The sequence below is a fragment of the Homo sapiens genome, chromosome 2 (assembly GCF_000001405.40).
Source record: "Homo sapiens chromosome 2, GRCh38.p14 Primary Assembly".
NCBI lineage: Eukaryota > Metazoa > Chordata > Mammalia > Primates > Hominidae > Homo > Homo sapiens.
The window spans coordinates 68,533,645-68,554,779 of record NC_000002.12 but is presented as its reverse complement, the minus strand read 5'-3'; the positions used below and the strand labels follow the sequence as shown (position 1 = coordinate 68,554,779).

Sequence of the window (21,135 nt, the reverse complement as noted above, 5' to 3'; positions counted from 1 at the left end):
TGATAAAAGAATTCACCAAAGTTTCCGGATACAAAATCAATGTACACAAATCAGTAGCTCTTCTATACACCAACAGCAATCAAGCTGAGAATCAAATCAAGAACTCAACCCCTATTATAATGGCTGCAAAAAAAAAAAAAACTTAGGAATATACCTAACCAAGGAGGTGGTTTCTTCTACAAGGAAAACTACAAAACACTGCTGAAAGAAATCATAGACGACACAAACAAATGGAAACACATCCCACGTTCATGGATAGGTAGAATCAATATTGTAAAAATGATCACACTGTCAAAGTAATCCACAAATTCAACTCAATTCCCATCAGGCAAGATACTTCAAATGAAAACACCAATTAGTTCTTTCAAATTACCATTTTTTCATGTTGAATTTAATTTTGTTAGATTTAAAAAAGTATAACAAGTCACAGAAAATGTTAACAATGCCTGTAGTATAAGTAGTACAAGTAAAATTTAATAATTACAGATCCTTTTCTAAAGATCAACCTGCTATATTAGCAGGGCTGTGGTAATCTTTATTTTTACTATGGTATACATTTACATATATGATCCATATCCTATTTTTTTCTCATTTTACTCATGGGATGGAATGGCTACAAATGAAATATATACCCATATACGTACAGTTTTTATGTTTACATACTTGCTCTACAGTGATAAAACTTTGAACCTATAAGACAATACTTGGAAATACAATATACTACCATATAAATGTAGGCATTGATATGTAGTATAATAGTAAGATTATCTAACATGGCATACAACATCTGAGATCACCTAGGTGTATAAAAAAGGAAACTGACTTGCACACATTCCAGTGATTAAAAGGTAGGACTGGGAAGCAAAATAATAATAATAACAAAATATGAAATCAACCTAGCATTACACTTAAGGGAATAATTGTTTTTACTTCAGAATAATTCTTACACTGTTTTGTGAAGGCAAATTTTTAAAGATAAAAAAGCAAGTAAACATGTTGTAGCTCATGAATTTCATCTCTCTTCCAAATATGTCATCTGTCATGGAAAACAGGCTTATCACAACTCTACTTTGGAATACATATCTTTCCATTTTTCTAAATATAATCATTTATTGCTCATTTTGATGGCTTATTTTATGATCTGTGGAACTTCAATATTTTTTTCTGTGGCTACAGGAAAAACCTAGCATGCATATGCATGAAAACTCACTTTTAAGCAAACTAAATTAGTACATTTTATAATTCTGATACACTGGGCATATTTTCTAGCACTAAACAGTATATAGCTAATAAAAATAATATACTTCACAAATATACCCTCAAAAATAATATACTCTCACAAATCAATATTTTTAAAAGAGTAAACTGATTATAATATAACTAAACTGAACATTGGTTTAGTTTCAGCAATGAAACAAAATAAATCTATTAAGTATGTTTTTTGCTCAATAATGATCATGTGACAACAGACAGTTTGTAAGGATTTCTATTATTTTGCTGACCTGGAAAATTTATGATTTCTTCAAAGTTCCTTATCTAGAGGTACTTTGAAAACTCCAAATATTATTTTTAAAACTCCAAAATATTATTTTGACATTTGGCTGAAAAGACAACCCCCCAGTGATACTTTAGAAAGCCAAGACTAACAGTCGTGGAGTCAGGCAATGCCATGGAGAAATTCTGGTCTCGAGGAGGGAAGAGATTTGGTTTTATCTCACCAGCTTTGGGGTCTTACACAGCTCATTTAATCTTTCTTAGTTTACATCCCCTTATTTTTAAAGCAGTAGGCAGAGTAATCAATCATATCTAACATTCTCTAAAAGTCTCTCTGAACTGTAATTAAAATTAACAAGAGAAAAAAATGTAAGTTTTTATCTGCAACCAGAATCAGGACACAAAGCAGTTCAGTAGGTGAAGAAAGCACCATATCTATACGTATACATCTACACGTATCTACAGACATGAAAGTTTTTATTAGCACATGTAAGCTAATTGGTTTTGGAGTTGTTTCTCTTGACTAGCCCCTTCTCTGACCTATTTTAAAAAGACTGATGACAAGAAGACAGCAATTTTTGACATTACTATCCTAAGCAAGGCTTTGTATTTTGTTTTTATTCTTCTGAAGAATAGGCATTATTTTTATTTTGCTTCTGAAAAGAATGTAGGACCTCATGGTAGGAGAATACTCTTTTTAACAACAGGAAAAAAAAGCCTGATAGGCTGTAAAAATCACTTTTATGACAGAATTGTGAGAGCAATGAAAATTTTAGATTATCTAAAATTCCAGAGATTTAATAATGACAGTCCTTCCTTTGTAAGCTGACAATCACAGGCTGCTTTCTTCCCTGAAGATATTTGTCAATTCTTGGTATTGGTTAAGGATAAGATTTAAACCAAGTGGAGAAACTATTCAAAGAAAGAGCTCTCATAGAGTTGTCATGACCATCTGGAAACAAATGGAGCCCCAAACACAAAGCTGATTTTTCCCAAGAAATATTTGTTGAGTTCCCTGAGAGGTGTGAGAGGCTGAGGGTCTGAAATTTCAAAAAAGGCAATGTGAAATATCCAGCTCAAGTCGTGTTTCAGAGACAAAGTCCCACTGGAGGGAAGGTATTTGCAACAAACATAACTAGCCTCCCCTCAAGAAATGAACCAAAATTTAAGATGCATGGGTAGTAGGCTAATAGGCTAAGCTCAAAATCGCCAAAGGAAAGTTTTATAGCTAAGAATACAGACTTGCCTCTCACATAAAAGTCGGGAAAAGCCATGCCAAACAAGCAGAAATAAAACAAAAGTGTACTGAGTTTTAATAAAACTCCAAACTAGCTACTATCTATCTAAATTTCTGACTGGACAGAGATGACTAGCCCCTACCTGCCAAGTAGAGGTGGTATCCTTACTGATGGAAGACAACATCTAGGGTACCTATAGTTCTTTTCATTAAAATATGTTAGAATTGCAATAAAGCGTTGCTAGACACAAAGAGGCAGAAAAATATGACCCAACAATCAAGAAAAAAAAAAAAGAAGCAGAACCAGAAATGTTGGTTCATAAATAAGAACATTAAAAGAACTAAGATTAATATGTTTTTTAAAAAAGAGTAGAAAATTGGGGAAAATGAATTAAAAATGGATAGTTCCACCAAAATTAGAATTGGCCAAAAAAAAAAAAAAAAAGAAGAAGAAGAATTAAATAAACATCCTAGAACTGGAAAATACAGTATCTGAAATTAGGAACTCTTTGAATGGGCTTAACAGCAGACTAGAAGAAACATGTGGGACATGGTCAAAGGGTTTAAAATATGTTTAGTTGGAGTACAAGAAAGAGAAAAGATAAAATAGAGTAGACACAATATCTGATGAGATAATAGCCAAGCAGTCTCCTCAAACTAATAAAAGGCATTAACTTGCAAAAAAGCTCAGTGAACCCCCAAATAGGATGGAATACAAAGAAAAATATACCTAGGCACGTTAGTTAAACTGTTAAAAACTAAAGGCAAAGATAAAAATCTTAAGAGTGGTGAAAGAAGAGGCACATTGATTTAAAAATATAATGGCAATAATAATATAGACAACTGAGTTTCAAGAGAAACTATGGATGCAAGAGTCCATGGCATGACATAAATGATAAAAGAAAAGGTATGCTAAGCTAGAATTACATACCTAGTGAAAACAGCCTTTAAAAATTTAAAATAAGAACACTTTCAGACACACAAAAATGTAAAGAATTTCTTTTTAGTAGATCTTCACTATAAGAAAAACGCAAAGAAGTTTTTAAAACTAAAAGAAAAGGATCCCAGATGAAAGGATAGACGTTTAGGAAGAAATAAAGGGCACTCAAAATAATAAATATGTAAATAAAGGGAATGTTGATGCTTAAAACAATTTTTAAACAATAATTACAATGTCTTGTGAGTTAATGTACAGAGGTATAACTATATAATAACAATGGTTTAAAAAGACAAAAGAGGAAGTAAATGAAATTAAAGTGATGTAAGGTTCTTGCACTGTTTGGGAAATGGTAAAAGCACCAACAGTAAGGTAGATTGTAATAAGTCACAGATGCCTATGGAAATAAAGTGTGGCTATTGAAAAATTAACAGAGGAGAAAAAAACAGAATGAAAAACATTTAATCCAAAATAAGTCAAAAAGAGGAGAATAAAAAACAAAGAATATGTAGGATAAATAGAAAACAAATACAAAAAAGAAAAAATTAAAATATATCATTAATAGTATTAAATGTAAATGGGGTTGGTGTGGTGGCTCACGCATGTAATCCCAGCACTTTGGGAGGCTGAGGTGGGCAGATCACTTGAGATCAGAAGTTTGAGACCAGCCTGGCCAACATAGTGAAACCCCGTCTCTACTAAAAATACAAAAATTAGCCGGGCGTGGTGGTGGGTGCCTATAATCCCAGCTACTCAGGAGGCTGAGGCAGGAGAATTGCCTGAACCTGGAAGGCGGAGATTGCAGAGAGCCGAGATTGCGCCACTGCACCCCAGCCTAGACAAGAGAGTAAAACTCCATCTCAAAAAAAATGTAAATGGACTAAGTATTCCACCTAAAACACAGATACTATCAGACTGGATTAAAAATAAAAACCAATGAAGCAACTATATGCTCTTTATAAAAGACATGTTTTAAATATAAGAACAGAAGTTGAAACTAAAAGGATTAAAAAAGATATTACACAAACACTAACCACATAACCTTGGGTAGTTATATTATATTAGACAAAACAAGGATTCCACTTTCAATAATGACAGAGTAGATTATATCGGACCAACACTCCGACAGGTTACAATTACACTCTGGAAAAAATATTAAAAACAATAATCAGAAGGTAGTGGATAGCTACCAAAAGCAAACAGAAACTGGAGAGTCAATATGTGGAAGAAAGATACAGCTCTGAGTAAATTTCCCACTTTTATGGCTTTTTCACTGAGGACAAATTTACAGCTGGAGTACTAAGAAAAACTGACAGAATTAAGCAGAGAAATAAACAAACCTATAATCATAGTGAAGGTTTTAATATTCCTCTCTCAGTAACTAGTAGAACCACCACAGGAAAAAAATCAACTAGCAAATATATAAAAAATTCTGAACAACACTATAACCATTTGACCAAATCGACATTTATAAAACCTTACTTCCAGCAACTAGAGAATACACATGTAAGTGCACACCATATGTTCAATAAAAGTCACCCATATGCTGGGCCAAAACAAATCTCAATAAATTTCCAAAGATTTAATTTCCAAAGTGTGTGCTATATAACCATATGGAATTAAATTATAAATCAATAATGATAATTATAATAGATATTAGAGCAATTCTCAAACATTTATAAATATCAAAGTAGACTTTCAGGTAAAAACATTTTAGAGACTAAGAGGGAAATAATATTCAAAGGACCAGGCAACTTTCACAATTTTTAGAACTGATATCTGATCAACCCTCTAGTTCAAACTATAAATTATTAGGAAATACAGGAAATGTGATTAATGACATCCTGAAAATACAATCAACAAAATGCAAATGATGGAATCCTCTTCAGAACAAATGATTAGCTTTCTTCAACAAATATATAGCAAGGAAAAAATGAAGAGAAACCTATTGATTAAATAAGTTAAGAGACATGGCCATCTTTTGCCATGTAGAATTTAAGCAGATCCTGATTCAGATAAACTGTTAAAAAAAATGACACTATAGGGAAATGTAGATACTTGACAGGATATTGAATAATATTAAAGATTTATTTAATAACAGTGTTGTGGTAGGTTTTTAGAGCTTATCTTTAGAGATACACCCTAAGATACTCATAGATAAAATGGGATGAAAAGATATGGGGTTAGGTATTTGCTTCAAAATAATACAGGGATGGGGTAGCAAGTGGTTTGGGGATTGATGAAACAATATTGATCATGAGTCGATAGCTGCACAAACTAGGTGATGGATTTCACTAGAACTTATTCTACATTCTCTCCACTTGTGTTTATGGATAAAATTCTCCATTACAAAAGTTTTTTTTTAACAAATGAAAAGGCATATCACCACAGTGCCACGAATTATATACAACATGAGCTATGAAAGGTGGCTTTGTTCCAAAATTATAAATAAATATATAAAAGTATGTTTGTTCTACAAGTACATCTCAACACTGTTTCATCAACACTTGGCATTTGATGATTCTTTGGAAAAGAATTTGTTGAATGAATAAATAGGAGAAAACAGTTACTTCAAGGTTATATGTTTATGTGTGTGTGCATGTGTGTCTAATGTCCCTGATTACTAATGACACTGAGTATTTTTTCATGTGTTTAATATTTGGATTTCCTTTTGGGCAAAAAGGCTATGTATGTTACCAAGCAAAAAGCAATAGCAATTTAAAATATTTTTTCATGTGTTCTAGATATATGCTACTGTCAATTATGTGGGTTGCAAATATATTTTTTCTTACTGTGTGCTTTGTTTTTATTCTCTTAATGTTGTGTACTGATGGATTAAAAACACCTTACTTTTAATGTAGTCAAATAATTAAATGTTTTTCATTTTAATTAATTTTTGTTTCTTGTTTTAGAAAATAATCCCTGCTCTGAGATCATGAAACAATTCCCTTATATTTATTTTTAAAGCTATATTATTTTTAATTACGTTAGAGAAGACACCAATTCATCTGGAAGTTATTTGTTCAGATGACTGCAGAGTTTTGTCAGTAATGTTTTGAGTTATCTAAACTTACCTTCCTTCTTAAACAGTAAAGTGGAACAAAAGGCACAGTTGATTCCATTTTAGTCTCTGGATCCATTTTTTATTCAACAAAGATTTCTTGAACATCTATCTAATGTAAGTCAGCAGTCTGTTAGATATTGGAGATTTAACTGTAAATAAGTTAAGTGTAATTCCTGAATCCTGACTTCATTTATAGTTGTAAAATAAGTAATTACAATAAATTTAGATGGCATATTAGTTTGTTCTCACATTGCTAATAAAGACATACCTGAGACTGGGTAATTTACAAACAAAAAAAAATAAAGCTATATTATTTTGTTTTTTACATTTAGTACTATGAGTCATCTGGAATTCAGTTTTTGACTATGGTGTGATATAAGGGTCAAATTTTATTTTTTCTTCAGATGAATATCTACTTATCCCCTTATAATTAATTGAAAAAATTCATTTTTCTCAATACCTGCAACGTCCCTTTTCATAAATATGTCACCTTACATATATAAGCCTATTTTGAAGTACCATTCTGTTCTGGTCATGTTACTTTATCTTTGTGCCCATACCACACTGCTTTAGTAACTATAAAGTATAACACATCCTGCCACCTATTCTTCATTATGTACGATTGTCATGGCTATTTTTATCCTTTGTAATCCATATACATTTTAGAATCACATTGTAAATTTCTTTATAAAAGCTAATATGATTTTGAATCAGTTTGTATACAAATCCATTTGAGGAAAACTGGTATTTTGACACTACTGAATAATTCAATCATGAACATTTTGATCTTCATAATTATTTAGGTCTTTCTGAAAAACATTTTCTCATTTTTACATTTAAAGTTTTATAGTTTTCTTCATAGAGGTTTCTACGCCTTTTATATTTATTCCTAAGGACTCTTTACTTTTTGATGTTATAATCTTTAAAAAATTTTATTTTCTTACCGGTTAATGCTGGAATATACAAATACAATTGGTTTTATATATTGATTTTTGTATCCAGTAAGCATCCTAAGCACTTACTAAATTTATAACTCATCAGTGGGCCACTTTGTATTTACTGCATATACAATAATACCATCTGTTAACACAAAGTTTTATTTCTTCCTTTGCAATCCTTATCCATTTTCCTTTTCTTGTCTTAGTATACTGTCTTGAATCGCCACATAATGATGAACTGAAGTGGTAATAACAGGCATTCTTGTCTCAGTTCTGATTTCAGAAAGGAAATTTTTAATATTTTAAGTATAATATTTGCTATAAATTTTTTGTAGATATTCTTTTTGATATTAAAGAAGTTCCCTTCTATTCTTACTTTATAACAAGTTTTTTTCATAAATGAATGCTGATTTTGGTTTGTCAGGTTTTTTTCTTTCCAATCATCTATGGAGATGGCTTTTCTACTTATTCTGATGACATGGTAAATGAATTTATTTTTTAACATTAAAACATGCATTCCTTAGATAGACCCTATTTGGTCATATTATATTTTCCTTTTTATTTATCACTTGATTCTCATAACTTTTCTCCCCTCAGGATATTTACAACTATGTTCAAAAGTAAGCTTATCCTATAATTTTTCATTCTTGTATTATTCTTGCTGGGTTTTGGTATCAAACTTGTGCTGGTCTCACATCATGAATTGGGAAATACACCCTCTTTTACTTTCTTTGGAGTAGTCTGTGTAAAAATGAAGTGCTTCTTCTTTAAATGTTTGTTAGAACCTGCCATTAAAACCAAACAGATCTATCACTTCTTTGTGGAAAGCTTTAAATTATATATTCAATTTCTCTTATATTAACTCAATTTTTGATTGTATCTGTTTCTTAAAGTTGTATTTTTCTAGGAATTTGTTAATTTCTCCAAAAATTTTCAAGTTTATTGGTAAAGTTGATTATAATGAACACTTACCTTTCAAAAAAAGTATAAGTCATTCTCCTTTCTGGTCCTAGAAACTTACTTTGCCTTCTCATTGAAAACCACAATCACAGAAATAGAAACAACTTCAAATAGCCCAGTAGGTTCAGCAATCTGTATTTAAAATTATCTAAGAAAGATGGCTGTCTGGAATTAAAGCTCTGTAAAGCTGAAATCACTACTTTTTTCTTTGATAGTTTGTTTCATTTCAAGTTCATTCATCTATTAAGCAAAGTTGCAAGATACAAAGATGAGAGTCCTTGCTGTCAAGATACTTGCTGCCTGTAGGAAAAGATGTTCTGATAAAGAAACAAACATAATCTCATGAGATAAATCCTACTCTGTGCATGATACGGACAAGGACAAGATGCCATGAAAACTGAGAGGAGAAGTATTCTTACTCTTCCTTTAGGATTGGACTTTCTGTGTTGGCAAGAATAGTGGAGTAGTAAAAGTTGAGGAAGCAGAGGGATGCAGAGATAACATCCCAAATAGATTTATATGTCACACCTAGGACATACAGAGTGAATTAAGTGTATATTGGGGTAGCATCAACAGCTTTTAAGTGATCTAATTTGCATTACAGAAAGTTGGAAATAAGGAAAAATTTCAGGCACTCGTAGATGTGTAACTTCAGTAATTCAGAATTAGCTAAAAGAAATATCATCCTACCTATTACCAACATGAAAACCTGTAATCTACAGAAGTTTAAAAATGAAAATTAAAAGGCTTGAGATAACAAGCTGCTGTCAGTTTCTCCTAGATAAGTAACAGAGATAAGAAAGAAAAGGAGTGCAGCCAAACATTCAGTTTCTATACCTATAACAGGATGGTCCATAGGGACATTCAGGCCGGTCATCAGTCTCATCTTGGCCCACGATTTGTACACCTCCATAATCACTATCACCAGGATGGCTAAAATGTTGAAAATGAACAGGATTCTTCCTAGGAGGGCGACAAATATACTGTCAGAAAAAAAAAATAGGATATTCTAGATTTTTAGTGGATATAGCAGGAAACCAGACAATCCACATCTGGCTATCCTTGAACATAAACCAACATGCTACATTGATGACATAAGCGCAGATTACATCAACATGCTAAATTGATGACATAAAGTTGATGACATAAACTCAGTACAGGACTCTCACAGTAACATACTACATTTCTGGTGTCATGTGATGAGCCATGATATCAATAGACAACTTGCAAACATTACTATATATATGACACATATGTATGTAAGCATATAACATAAATATCATAAATATATATAGCTTTTCAAAACTTTTAATAAAATGAGCACATATATTGTACCCTCTGCTAAGATAAAAAACAGAACGTTTCCAACATCCTAGAAAGGTCCCATGTGCCCTCTTCAATCACTAAATCCATTTACTACGCAAAGGTAACTATCCTAACTTCTAAAAGTGTTTTTCAAACTTTTCGGTCTCAAGACTCTTACACTAAAAAAAAGATTAAAACTCCAGAGAGCTTTTGTTTATATAGGATATTTACCCTATTAGAAATTATAAATGAGAAATTGAAAAAGTGCATTTATTGACTTAAATAGAACAATAATAAACCCTTTACATATTATCATAATAACATGTCTTAACATAAATAATTATTAACTTCCAAGAAAAAATTATTGTTTTATACTATGGAAATTTATTTAATCTCTACTTTAGAGAAGGCATTTGGCTTCTCATGCCTGCTTCTGCATTCAATCATTAACAACAACACATAACTTGTGGCCTCTGGGAAACTCCACTGTACACTTGTGAGAGAGTGAATGGCAGTAAAAAAAGGCATTCACAAAAAGTCACAATATTATTATGAAAATACTTTTGGGTCGGCTGTGGTGGCTCACACCTGTAATCCTAGCACTTTGGGAGGCCGAGGAGGGCAGATCACTTGAAGTCAGGAGTTCAGGACCAGCCTGGCCAACACGGTGAAACCCCATCTCTACTAAAAATACAACTAGCCGGGCTTGGTGGCGCACATCTGCAATCCCAGCTACTCAGGAGGCTGAGGCAGGAGAACTGCTTGAACCCAGGAGGCAGAGGTTGCAGTGAGCCAAGATTGTGCCACTGCACTCCAGCCTGGGTGACAGAGCAAGACTCCATCTCAAAAAAAAAAAAAAAAAAGAAAATACAATTGACTTAACAGATTTCTTAAACGTGTTCTGGGGACATCCAGGGATCTCTGGATCATACTTTAAGAAGTGATATTATAAAACAACAGATCAGTATTGTCTGCCTTTGAACTTAAATGAAAATATATACTAGTATGCACTTCTTTGAACCAGCCCTTTTATATTTATATGATTAATTCATGTTGTTACATGTAGCAGTAAGTACGTTTTCAATACCATGTAGTAATAGCATCATCCATTTGATGATGGTATTATAATTTATCCATTTTACTACTGATAAACTTTTGGGTTCATTTCAGGTATTGACTTCTATAAGTAATACTGCAATGAGCATTCTCGTATAAGCCTTCTGATGCACATCTATATGCATTTTCCTGGGGATATAGTTAAGAATGGTCACAGGGTATGTATATGCTCAGGTTTGATAAATATTGCCAAATTTCCAAAATGACTGTATTAATTTTCACTCCCAGTAGGTTATTAGAGTTCCAGTTTTTCAACAACCTCACCAACATTTAGCACTGTTAGGTTTCTTTTTTGTTTTTTCACATGGCAGTATTTATAGCAGAGAGTGGCAAACCATGAACAGCAGGCCAAATCTGGCCTACTGCTTTTTTTAAACTGTGCTAAGAATATATACGTAACATAAAATTTACCATCTTAACAATTTCTATGTGCACAGTTCAGTAATGTTAAGTATATTCACATTGTTGTGCAACCAATCCCTAGAATTTTTTCAACTTGTGCAACTGAAAACTCTATACCCATTAAACAACAACTTCCCAGCTCCTCCTGTCCTCCCCGGAATCCACCATTCTGATTTCTGTTTTTCCCCACAGGCACTGGTAACTGCCATTCTAATTTGTTTTTATGAATCTAACTACTCTAGATACCTCCTACAAGTAGAATTATGAAGTATTTATCTTTTTGTGACTGGTTTATTTCACTTAGCATAATGTCCTCAAGGTTCATACACATAGGAGCATGTGTCAGAATTTCCCTTCCTTTTAAGGCTGAATAATATTCCATCATATGTATATACCAAATTTTCTTTATTCCTTCAATAATTGATGGACATGTGGGTTCCTTCTACCTCCTGGGTATTGTGAATATAGTGCTGCTATGAACTCTTTGAGATTCTGCTTTCAATTCTTATGGATATATACCCAGAAGTGGAATTTCTATATAATAGGGTAATTCTATCTTTAATTTTTTTGAGGAACTACCATACTGTTTCCCACAGTGGCTACACCAATTTACACTCCCATCAACAATGCACAAAGGTTCCAATTTTTCCACATCCCCATCAACAATTGTTACTTGTTTTTCATTTCGTTTTTGAAAGCAGCCACCCTAATAGGTGTGAGGTGATATCTCAATGTGGTTATGGTCTGCATTTCCCTAATGTTTAGTGATGTTGAGCATCTTTTAATATGCTTGTTGGTCATTTGTATATTATCTTTAGAGAAATATCTATTTAAGTTCTGTCCCCAATTTCAAATTGGGTAATTTGTTTTTTGGTTGTTTAGTTATAGTTCTTTATGTATTCTAGACATTAATCCTTATCAGATATATAATTTGCAAATATTTTATCCCATTCCATAGGTTGTCATTTCACTCTGTGTTAATTTTGTTCTTTCATGTACAGAAGTTTTTAACTTTAAAAAGTCCAATTTTTCTATTTTTGCTTTTGTTGTCTGTGCTTTGGTGTCATATCCAAGAAATCTTTGTCAAATCCAATGTCATGAAGCTTCTCCCCCATTTTCTTCTAAGAGTCTTGTAGTTTTAGATGTTTATAGTTTTATATGTTCAGATTATTTGATCCATTTTAAGTTATATTTTGAAAACAAGTGTAAGGCAAGCATCCAACTTCACTCTTTTGCATGTGAATATGCAGTTTTCTGAGCACTCTTTATTGAAAAAAATCTGTCCTTTCCTCTTTGATTTGTCTTGAGACCATTGTTGAAAATTATTTAACCATATATATGAGGATTTATTTATAGGCTCTCTAGTCTATTCCATTTGTCTATATGTCTATCTTTATGCCAGTACCACACTGTTTGGATTACTGTGGCTTTGTAATACATTTTAAAATCAGGAAGTGTGAGACCTCCAACTTTGATCATCTTCAAGATTGTTTTGGCTACTTGAGATCCCACATGATTTTAGAATAATTTTTTCTATTTCTGCCAAAAAAAACCATTAGGATTTTGATAGAGATTGCATTAATTCTGTAGATCACCTTGAATAGTATGAACATCTTCACTGCCTGTGCTGTCTATGGCTGCTTGCACACTGTGACAGCATAATTAAGCAGTGGCAACAAAGACTGTACGGCCCATGAAGCCAAAAATATTTACTGTCTGGCACTTTTAAAAGTTTGACAACCACTGATCTGTAGTATTATCTTTTAAAATGTGTTTCCCTACATGACTAACAAGCATTAAACCTTTCTTGTATGCTTATTGGCCATTTCACTGTTCTCTTTTGTGCAGTGCCTTTTGCTCATTTTTTTTTCTTAACTGAGTTGTCATTTTCTTATTGGTTGCTAGTTATTTATTTTTGATACAAGTTCTTTGACATATGTGTAACAAATATCCTCATCTACTTTGTGCCTTGCCTTTTCACCCTTCTAATATTATATTTAAATATAACATAAAGGGTAATTTTAATTTTAATTTTGTCCAACTGATCAACTGGATAACATGATTATGATTACTTCATTTTATAACATGCTTAAGAAATCTTTGCCCAATGTCATGAATATATTCTATGTTATCCTCTGCTACCTGTACTTTATATGTTTTACAAAAATCTATCTGAGATTTATTTTGTGATAGGTATAAGGCAGGAGTTAAGATTCATTATCTTTTCATATGAATATCCAATTACCAAACACCACTCATTGAAAGTTCATGCTTAACCCACAGATCTTCAGTGGTACCTTTGTCATAAACACAGACATGTAGGTTTGGTTTTGAACTCTTTAATCTCTTGCACTGATTACTGTTTATCTATCCTTGCACCAATATTAAACTGCATTATATATGGTAGCTTTATAATAAGGCTTTCTATCTGGTCATGTAAGTCTTTCAAGTTTGCACTTGAAGATTGTATTCAGAGTTCTACGTCCTTTGCTATTCCTCTATAAAGTCAGTTTGTCAACTTACACACATACACACACATACACACACACACACACGCATGCACATACACCCTATTGGGATTCTGATAAAGACTGCTTTAAACTTACAGAGCGATTTTGAGGAAATATATATCTTTACAATATTGATTCTTGCAACAGGTGCTAGAGAGGATGTGGAGAAATAGGAACACTTTTACACTGTTGGTGGGAATGTAAATTAGTTCAACCATTGTGGAAGATAGCGTGACAATTCCACAAGGACCTAGAACCAGAAATATCTTTTGACCCAGTAATCCCATTACTGGGTATATACCTAAAGGAATATAAATCATTCTACCATAAAGATACATGCTAATGTATGTTTATGGCAGCACTATTCACAATAGCAAAGACTTGGAACCAACCCAAATGCCCATCAATGATACATTGGATAAAGAAAATGTGGCACATATACACCATGGAATATTATGCAGCCATAAAAAACAATGACTTCATGTCCTTTGCAGGGACATGGATGAAGCTAGAAACCATCATTCTCAGCCAACTAACACAAGAACAGGAAACCAAACACTGCATGTTCTCACTCATAAGTGGGAGTTGAACAATGAGAACACATGGACACAGGGAGGGGAACATCACATACTGGTGCCTGTTGAGGGGTGGGGGCAAGGGGAGGGATAGCATTAGGAGAAATACCTAATGCATGTGGGGCTTAAAACCTAGATGATGGGTTGATGGGTACAGAAAACCATGGCACATGTATACCTATATAACAAACCTGCACGTTCTGCACATGTATTCCAGAACTCAGAGTATAATAAGAAAAAGATTCTGAATTTTCAAAATTATACAATCATGTCACCTGTAAATAATTACAGTTTTATTTTTTCCTTTCTACTCTACATGTTATTTCTTTTTTTTGCCTTAGTGTACTGGCTATGATCTCTACTGCAATGTTGAATAGGAGTGGTGATAGCAGACATACTGGTTAGTTCCCAACATCATGGGAGAAACTCTAATCTTTCACCATTAAGTATGAAGTTAGCTGTTGGTTTCTGTAGATATTCTTGATTAAACTGAAGAAGTCTTTTCTATTCTTATATAATTAAGAATTTTTTTCATAAATGGGATGTTGAATTTTATCATATGACTTTTCTCTATTGAGATGACCATTATGAATTTTCTCTTTTAAATTGTGTTATGAAGTGCATTGTTCCCCACCTCCCAAAATTCATATGTTGAAGCCCTAATTTCCAGTGTGACTAATTTGGAGATAGGGGCTTTAAAAAGATGATTAAGGTTAAACGAGGTCATAAGGGTGGGGCCCAACCTAATATAACTGGTGTCCTTACAAGATGTGGAAAAGAGACCAGGAAGGTACATGTACAGAGAACAGGCTATGTGAAGACACAGTGAGAAAGTGGCAGTCTGCAAGCCAAGAAAAGAGGTCTCAGGAGAAAACAAACTTGCTGACACCATGATCTAGGGCTTCCAGCCTCCAGAACTATGGGAAAATACATTTCTGTTTTTTAAGCACCCAATCTGGTATTTTGTTATGGCAGCCCTGGCAAACTAATACAATCCAAGGTAACAGAAGGTATATATACTTCCATTCTGCAAGTTTTTACATTATGGTCCAGATGTGGAACTAAAGCCATTGCATATATACAAAAATGTTTCAAAAAGCATAAATCAGAACTATTCAAATTTTAAAATATGAGTTATTCAAGTGCTAAAATGGCAATACCTTTTAAAGAGAATATGAATGTGAAATTAACAGAATATATTAAAATATACTATTGCAATAAAGATATCTATCTTCTAGAAAATCCTGCTATAGGCTTTTAAGATACAGTGGGGGGAACTGAATGTTTTATATGTATACATGCTGACTAGTGTCTTATTGACACAGAAGACAAACTACTGGAAAGGATTGCTAGGATATTTGGTTTGGCAAGTTGGAATGGCAAGAAATCTTTCTGAAATAGGGTTATGTAATTATAAACATGTTACTATAAACACTATGGATGAAAGTATAGCCTAAAACTAAGAGATTATAATTTGAATTCTCAAAATAAGAAATTAGAGTATATAGGGCAGTGTAAATAAATGAAGCAAGTATAGGAGCAACCCATCAATCCAGGATTATTATATTCAGTTGTTTTACAGGGTACCATGATGATTCAAAGCACCATTACAAAAATATAAAGAAAAGACACCTAAATACAACTTAAAATTATAGTTATATTGTAGACAACAACTCTGTAGGAAGCCATCTCTCTAATATTTAAGAAAAGACTAAATAACAGGTATTTAGATCTGGGGGATTCAGTCTTCATGTCTGGATTCCCCAGTATTCAGATCCTCACATTAGTCAGCATGTCTATATATAAAACATTTAATTCTCCCACTGTATCTTAAAAGCCTTAAAAGGATTTTCTAGAAAATATACTGAGGAAGTACAAATAGTAGAAACACGATAAAGCCCCTAACCTTTAGGCCAGTGGGTTTTATTAAGTTTTTAATATACTGTAGCATGTATCTACATAGCTACACGCTATCAAAATAATGGAATTAAATGTTACTGTAATTTCATTTTACCTATAGCAGTTTGCCCCATACATGCAGGATGTCCTCTTGACCTTGTTTCCTTCAGAACCTTGTAGAACTGAATCAGTTGCCTTTGCATGCAAAGTTTCAGGATTGGAGGGATTAGAGCTGGACTCAGAATGAGACCCTTGAGACTCATCCTGAAGTGAGTCGCCCTGGGCACTCGAACAATTTTCAGAACAGCTCATTGCCTCATCTTCTTTATGTGGTGTTCTTTTAGTGGCAATTTTATGTTTAGAAACTTTACCAAGTTCCTCTATTGGAAGTTTGTTTCTCTGTGCATTAGTCTTAATATTATTCATCTCTGTGTTACTTAATGTGATTGCAGAAAATGATTGTGGCATTTCCTGTAAAACAAATATGAAAAACATCAGAAATAAATGAAACATTTTTAAAAAGATATGAGCATAACAGCACAAAACTACAAGATCCATGCAAAATGTAAACTTAAAACTTCAAGATTCACATTTTAAAGTTCTTAAATGCCACTATTTTCTATGCGCTTAGTTTAATAACTTAAAACATTTTTAGTTTTTTGAAAAGAAATTTGGCCAGGCACGGTGGCTCAGGCCTGTAATCCCAACACTTTGGAAGGCTGAGGCGGGTGGATCACCTGAGGTCAGGAGTTTGAGACCAGCCTGGCCAACAAGGTGAAACCCCGTCTTTACTAAAAAATACAAAAAATTAGTTGAGCATGGTGGTGGGTGCCTGTAATCCCAGCTATTTGGGAGGCTGAGGCAGGAGAATCGCTTGAACCTGAGAGGCAGAGGTTGCAGTGAACTGAGATTGCACCATTGCACTCCAGCCTGGGCAACAAGAACAAGACTCCATCTCAAAGAAAAAAAAAAAAGGAAAGAAAAGAAATTTACAGTTGTATCAAACCTTTACAATCATGTCAAACATTCAGTGAAAAATAACCAGAAAATACAAATAAAATATAAGAGAAGACATTTGCTTTCATTTGAATCTTTAACTTCTCTTAAATGTCACTGTTCAACAATGAGTCATGTTCTTAACATGCACGGTCCTTATAATTTCTCTTTTTTTTTTTTTTGAGATGGAGTCTTGCTCTGTCTCCCAACCTGGAGTGTGGTGGCACGATATCTGCTCACTGCAACCTCCGCCTCCCAGGTTCAAGTGATTCTCCCACCTCAGGCTCCCGAGTAGCTGGGATTACAGGCACATGCTACCATGCCCAGCTAATTTTTGTATTTTTAGTAGAGACGGGGTTTCACTGTTGGCCAAGCTGGTCTCGAACTCCTGACCTCAGGTGATCTGCCTGCCCTGGCTTCTCAAAGTGTTGGGATTACAGGCATGAGACACCATGCCTAGCCCCTTATAATTTCTTCTAAGCTACTGCAATACTTTATTTCTGCCCTCTAAATGTAATCATGATTTTACCATAGCTGAATGACAAAACTGTTTTGCCCTCACGGAAAATTTTGCATAAAGCTATGTTCTGACCAACTTGGAAAAAGATAGGATTCCTTTAAATTTGTCTTAATAAAGTTTTGAGTTTAACCAAACTGAAGGTGCTTTGAACCAAATAAATACTCTCATTAGCACTGCAGAACCTTTATAATTTGTACTTACCAACAGCACAAACAATAAGCCTGGTCTTATTCTGTTAAAAATGACCCCTTAATTACTTATACTTCCCGTGGAGTAGAAACAATGCTCAGATATACCCCAGTTCTCCTGGTAACCATTTCTAGGATGTGATAACAACATACCAGATACACATCAATGTTTGCTTCCACTTATAACTAAAGACTCATGTATGCTGGATGCCATCTGAAAAAGAGCTGGTTTTACATGACCTAATATTCAATAGCTTAAATTTCTTAAGAAGATATTTCATTTTTTAAGAAACAGTACATTAAAATGCTACCCAAACTGACTAACTGCCTTGAAAAAAGGAACCTAGATCTTATCATGGTTCCTGTATAGTAACAGATAACCTATGGGGAAAGCAATCCTTTGGCTACACTGGCAACATTCATGTCATGTCTCTCTAAAACATACGCTCTTTGCTCCCACGCTGCACAAGTACACCCCAATCTCAACCCCCCAACTCCAGGACCAACTGGTCTGTACCAGCAACTGGAACTCTCGAGTGAGAATTGGGCAATCCTAACCCACCTCCCTACTAGGCAGTTCCCCCTGGGTCAGTTCTCCCCAGTTTTCTTTTTCCTTTTTCAGGTAGCAGTGGAGCAGATCAGCAAATCCACTGGCTAACAGATGTTCAATAAAATGTATCTCTTGTTCCTGCTGGTATTTCCAAGCTCCACAAGTAATTATCTTAGAATGCCCCTCTTCTCTTGATTTTAGAAAAGGAAGAAATAATTTCCCCCATAAACACTGCACTTCTCTTAACCTTAAAACCTTTTGGCCTCTCAATTCCCTTTGTATCAAGCCTAGGGGGTTGGGATGGCAATCGCTTTTCATACCTTTCAATAAACCATAAAGGGAAAGGGCTGTTTCTTACTGCTGAGGGCCCCTTAACATGGGATACTTTATTAGTACTTCTATTCCCAGCTTTGAGCCTTAGCAGCAGTTCTGGGACAAGGAAACAATCCCACTCAATATCTTATCACATTAAAAAAAAAAAAAAAGAGCACAGCTAGGGAAGTGGTTAAATAAATTAATTATATTCTTACTATGAAATACTATGCAGACATTAAAATAATAATGACACACCTAAAGATATTTTTTAACTGAACAAGAATAATATCCATACTTGGTACCATTTAGCTTTTAAAAAAAATTCCTTATATATCTATGTGTGCATTCATCTGTGTAAATCCAAATGAAAAGAGTTAGAAGGATACAAACCAAAAAATTAGTAACGCAATGAGGTCGAAGGATGAGGCAAATGGAGGTTTTCATTATTTACTTCAAATGCTTCTGATACTTCCATTTTTGACAATAAGCATCTATTATGTTGCCATTTAAAAATAAAAAATAAGCCAATGAAAATGAAATATAACAAAATCCATAGTATCATATTTCAACTCCATCTACTTCCATGAATTAGAGAAGAGTTTGTTTTATTTTTAAATCCTCACAAGGAATAGGTTTAACATGTTAACTTATTCTAAAAGAGAAAGGAATGTTAAAGTCCCAAATATCAATACTATGGATCAGGGGTTCTCGAATATATTTTAAGAGGCACAAAAGCTGGAAATCATAATGCTCTTTATGGAACTCCATGAAATATTGATTTATAGTACACCCTTGGCATTCAAGAATTTAACATTCATGGTTTAAATTATTTATAAATGACCCCAAAATCCATTACATGCAGTAATTTGTAAGTTTGCTGAGACATAAATTTGCACTGTGCCAATTAAAAAGCTCAGGAGCTAGAGTAAGTCACTGAACTGACGAGTGAGGGAACAGGAAACATGGAAGTTGCTCTGTACTTGGAAGAAGTAGGAGAAAGGCAGAGAGCTCTATATTTCCTAAGCATCCCACATTGCTTATTTCTTACATTAGATGAAAATGGGCAGGACTAAATGTGGAAGGCTGGCGACTCATGATAGAGTGGCCAAATCCCCTACAATGTAAATATACATGTTAGAGACCTGAGGGACGGAAGAGCATGGAGCTGGTAGAGGGTGACCTGGGTGTTTGGAGGTGGTGGGAATGTATTATTAAGGCTATTAAAATAGCCGGTTAACTTCTCAAACAAGCCATTCCCCTGCCCCTCAACCATCTGAGTGTTATGTACTAGAAGGGACAAGATAAAGAACTTCCACCTAGAACAATTTAAATCAAGTAATTTATTGCTGTTTCCAAACTGCTCCTGGCAAGAATGTCTGTGGTGACAAATTACCTTAAAAGTCCTGTCTCAATCCCATTAACACTGACTAACGCTAAAGACTAAAACTCCTAACCTCTAGCCCCAACTTCACTCCTGAGCTTCAAACTCATATAGCCAGACATTTCTTTCTCAATGTTCTATGCTCCTCAAACTCTAAATGTCAAAACTGACATTCTGCCTCTGAGTTCTCTGCCATAGTTTCTGCCAACATATTTCATCTATTCATGCTAGCCAGAAATTTAGAAGCTTTTTACTCCTTCTTGCCCTCTCTCCCCAGATCCAAGCAAGAAGTCCTACAATTTTATTCCTGAATACTTTTATAATCCAATACTTCTTACCATCCTTAAAGTCACTGCCCTAGTTTAGATTCTCTATTTCTTCACTTTGTTAATGCCACAATCTCTTCCCTTACCTCCAAGTCTTTTATCTTGTTCTTTTCCAATCTCTCCTCTAGTGAGCTGCCAGGATTACCTCTGTGACTGAAAACATTTCAAGGGCCCTTCTCTATGAACTGGTCACACTGCTGTCTTCACCCTATGAGACCTGGTAACTTGCTCTGACCAAAAGAATTCAGCAAAAATTACAATTCCAGTTCTAGGCCTTAAAAGATCTAACAGCTTTGACATCACTCTCTTGGGGCCCAGATGTCAGGTGAAGATGCTCAGTCTAGGCTACTTCATGGTACAGGGAGGGAGGTGGGCCCAGCCAGCCCCCAGCCATTCCATCAACCTTTGCTGAGGCACCATTC

General features: G+C 34.1%; 1 protein-coding gene across 1 annotated transcript in view; it reads right to left on the bottom strand.

Annotated features, from left to right (window-relative positions):
• APLF (aprataxin and PNKP like factor) overlaps positions 1–21,135 on the bottom strand; it is a 112,578-nt gene that overhangs the window by 25,383 nt on the left and 66,060 nt on the right. The window contains exons 7-8 of the mRNA NM_173545.3: positions 16,553–16,908; positions 9,468–9,593 (exon numbers count right to left, since the gene is read on the bottom strand). Coding sequence (NP_775816.1) covers positions 9,468–9,593; positions 16,553–16,908 — 482 coding nt within the window. The remainder of the gene's footprint in view (positions 1–9,467; positions 9,594–16,552; positions 16,909–21,135) is intronic.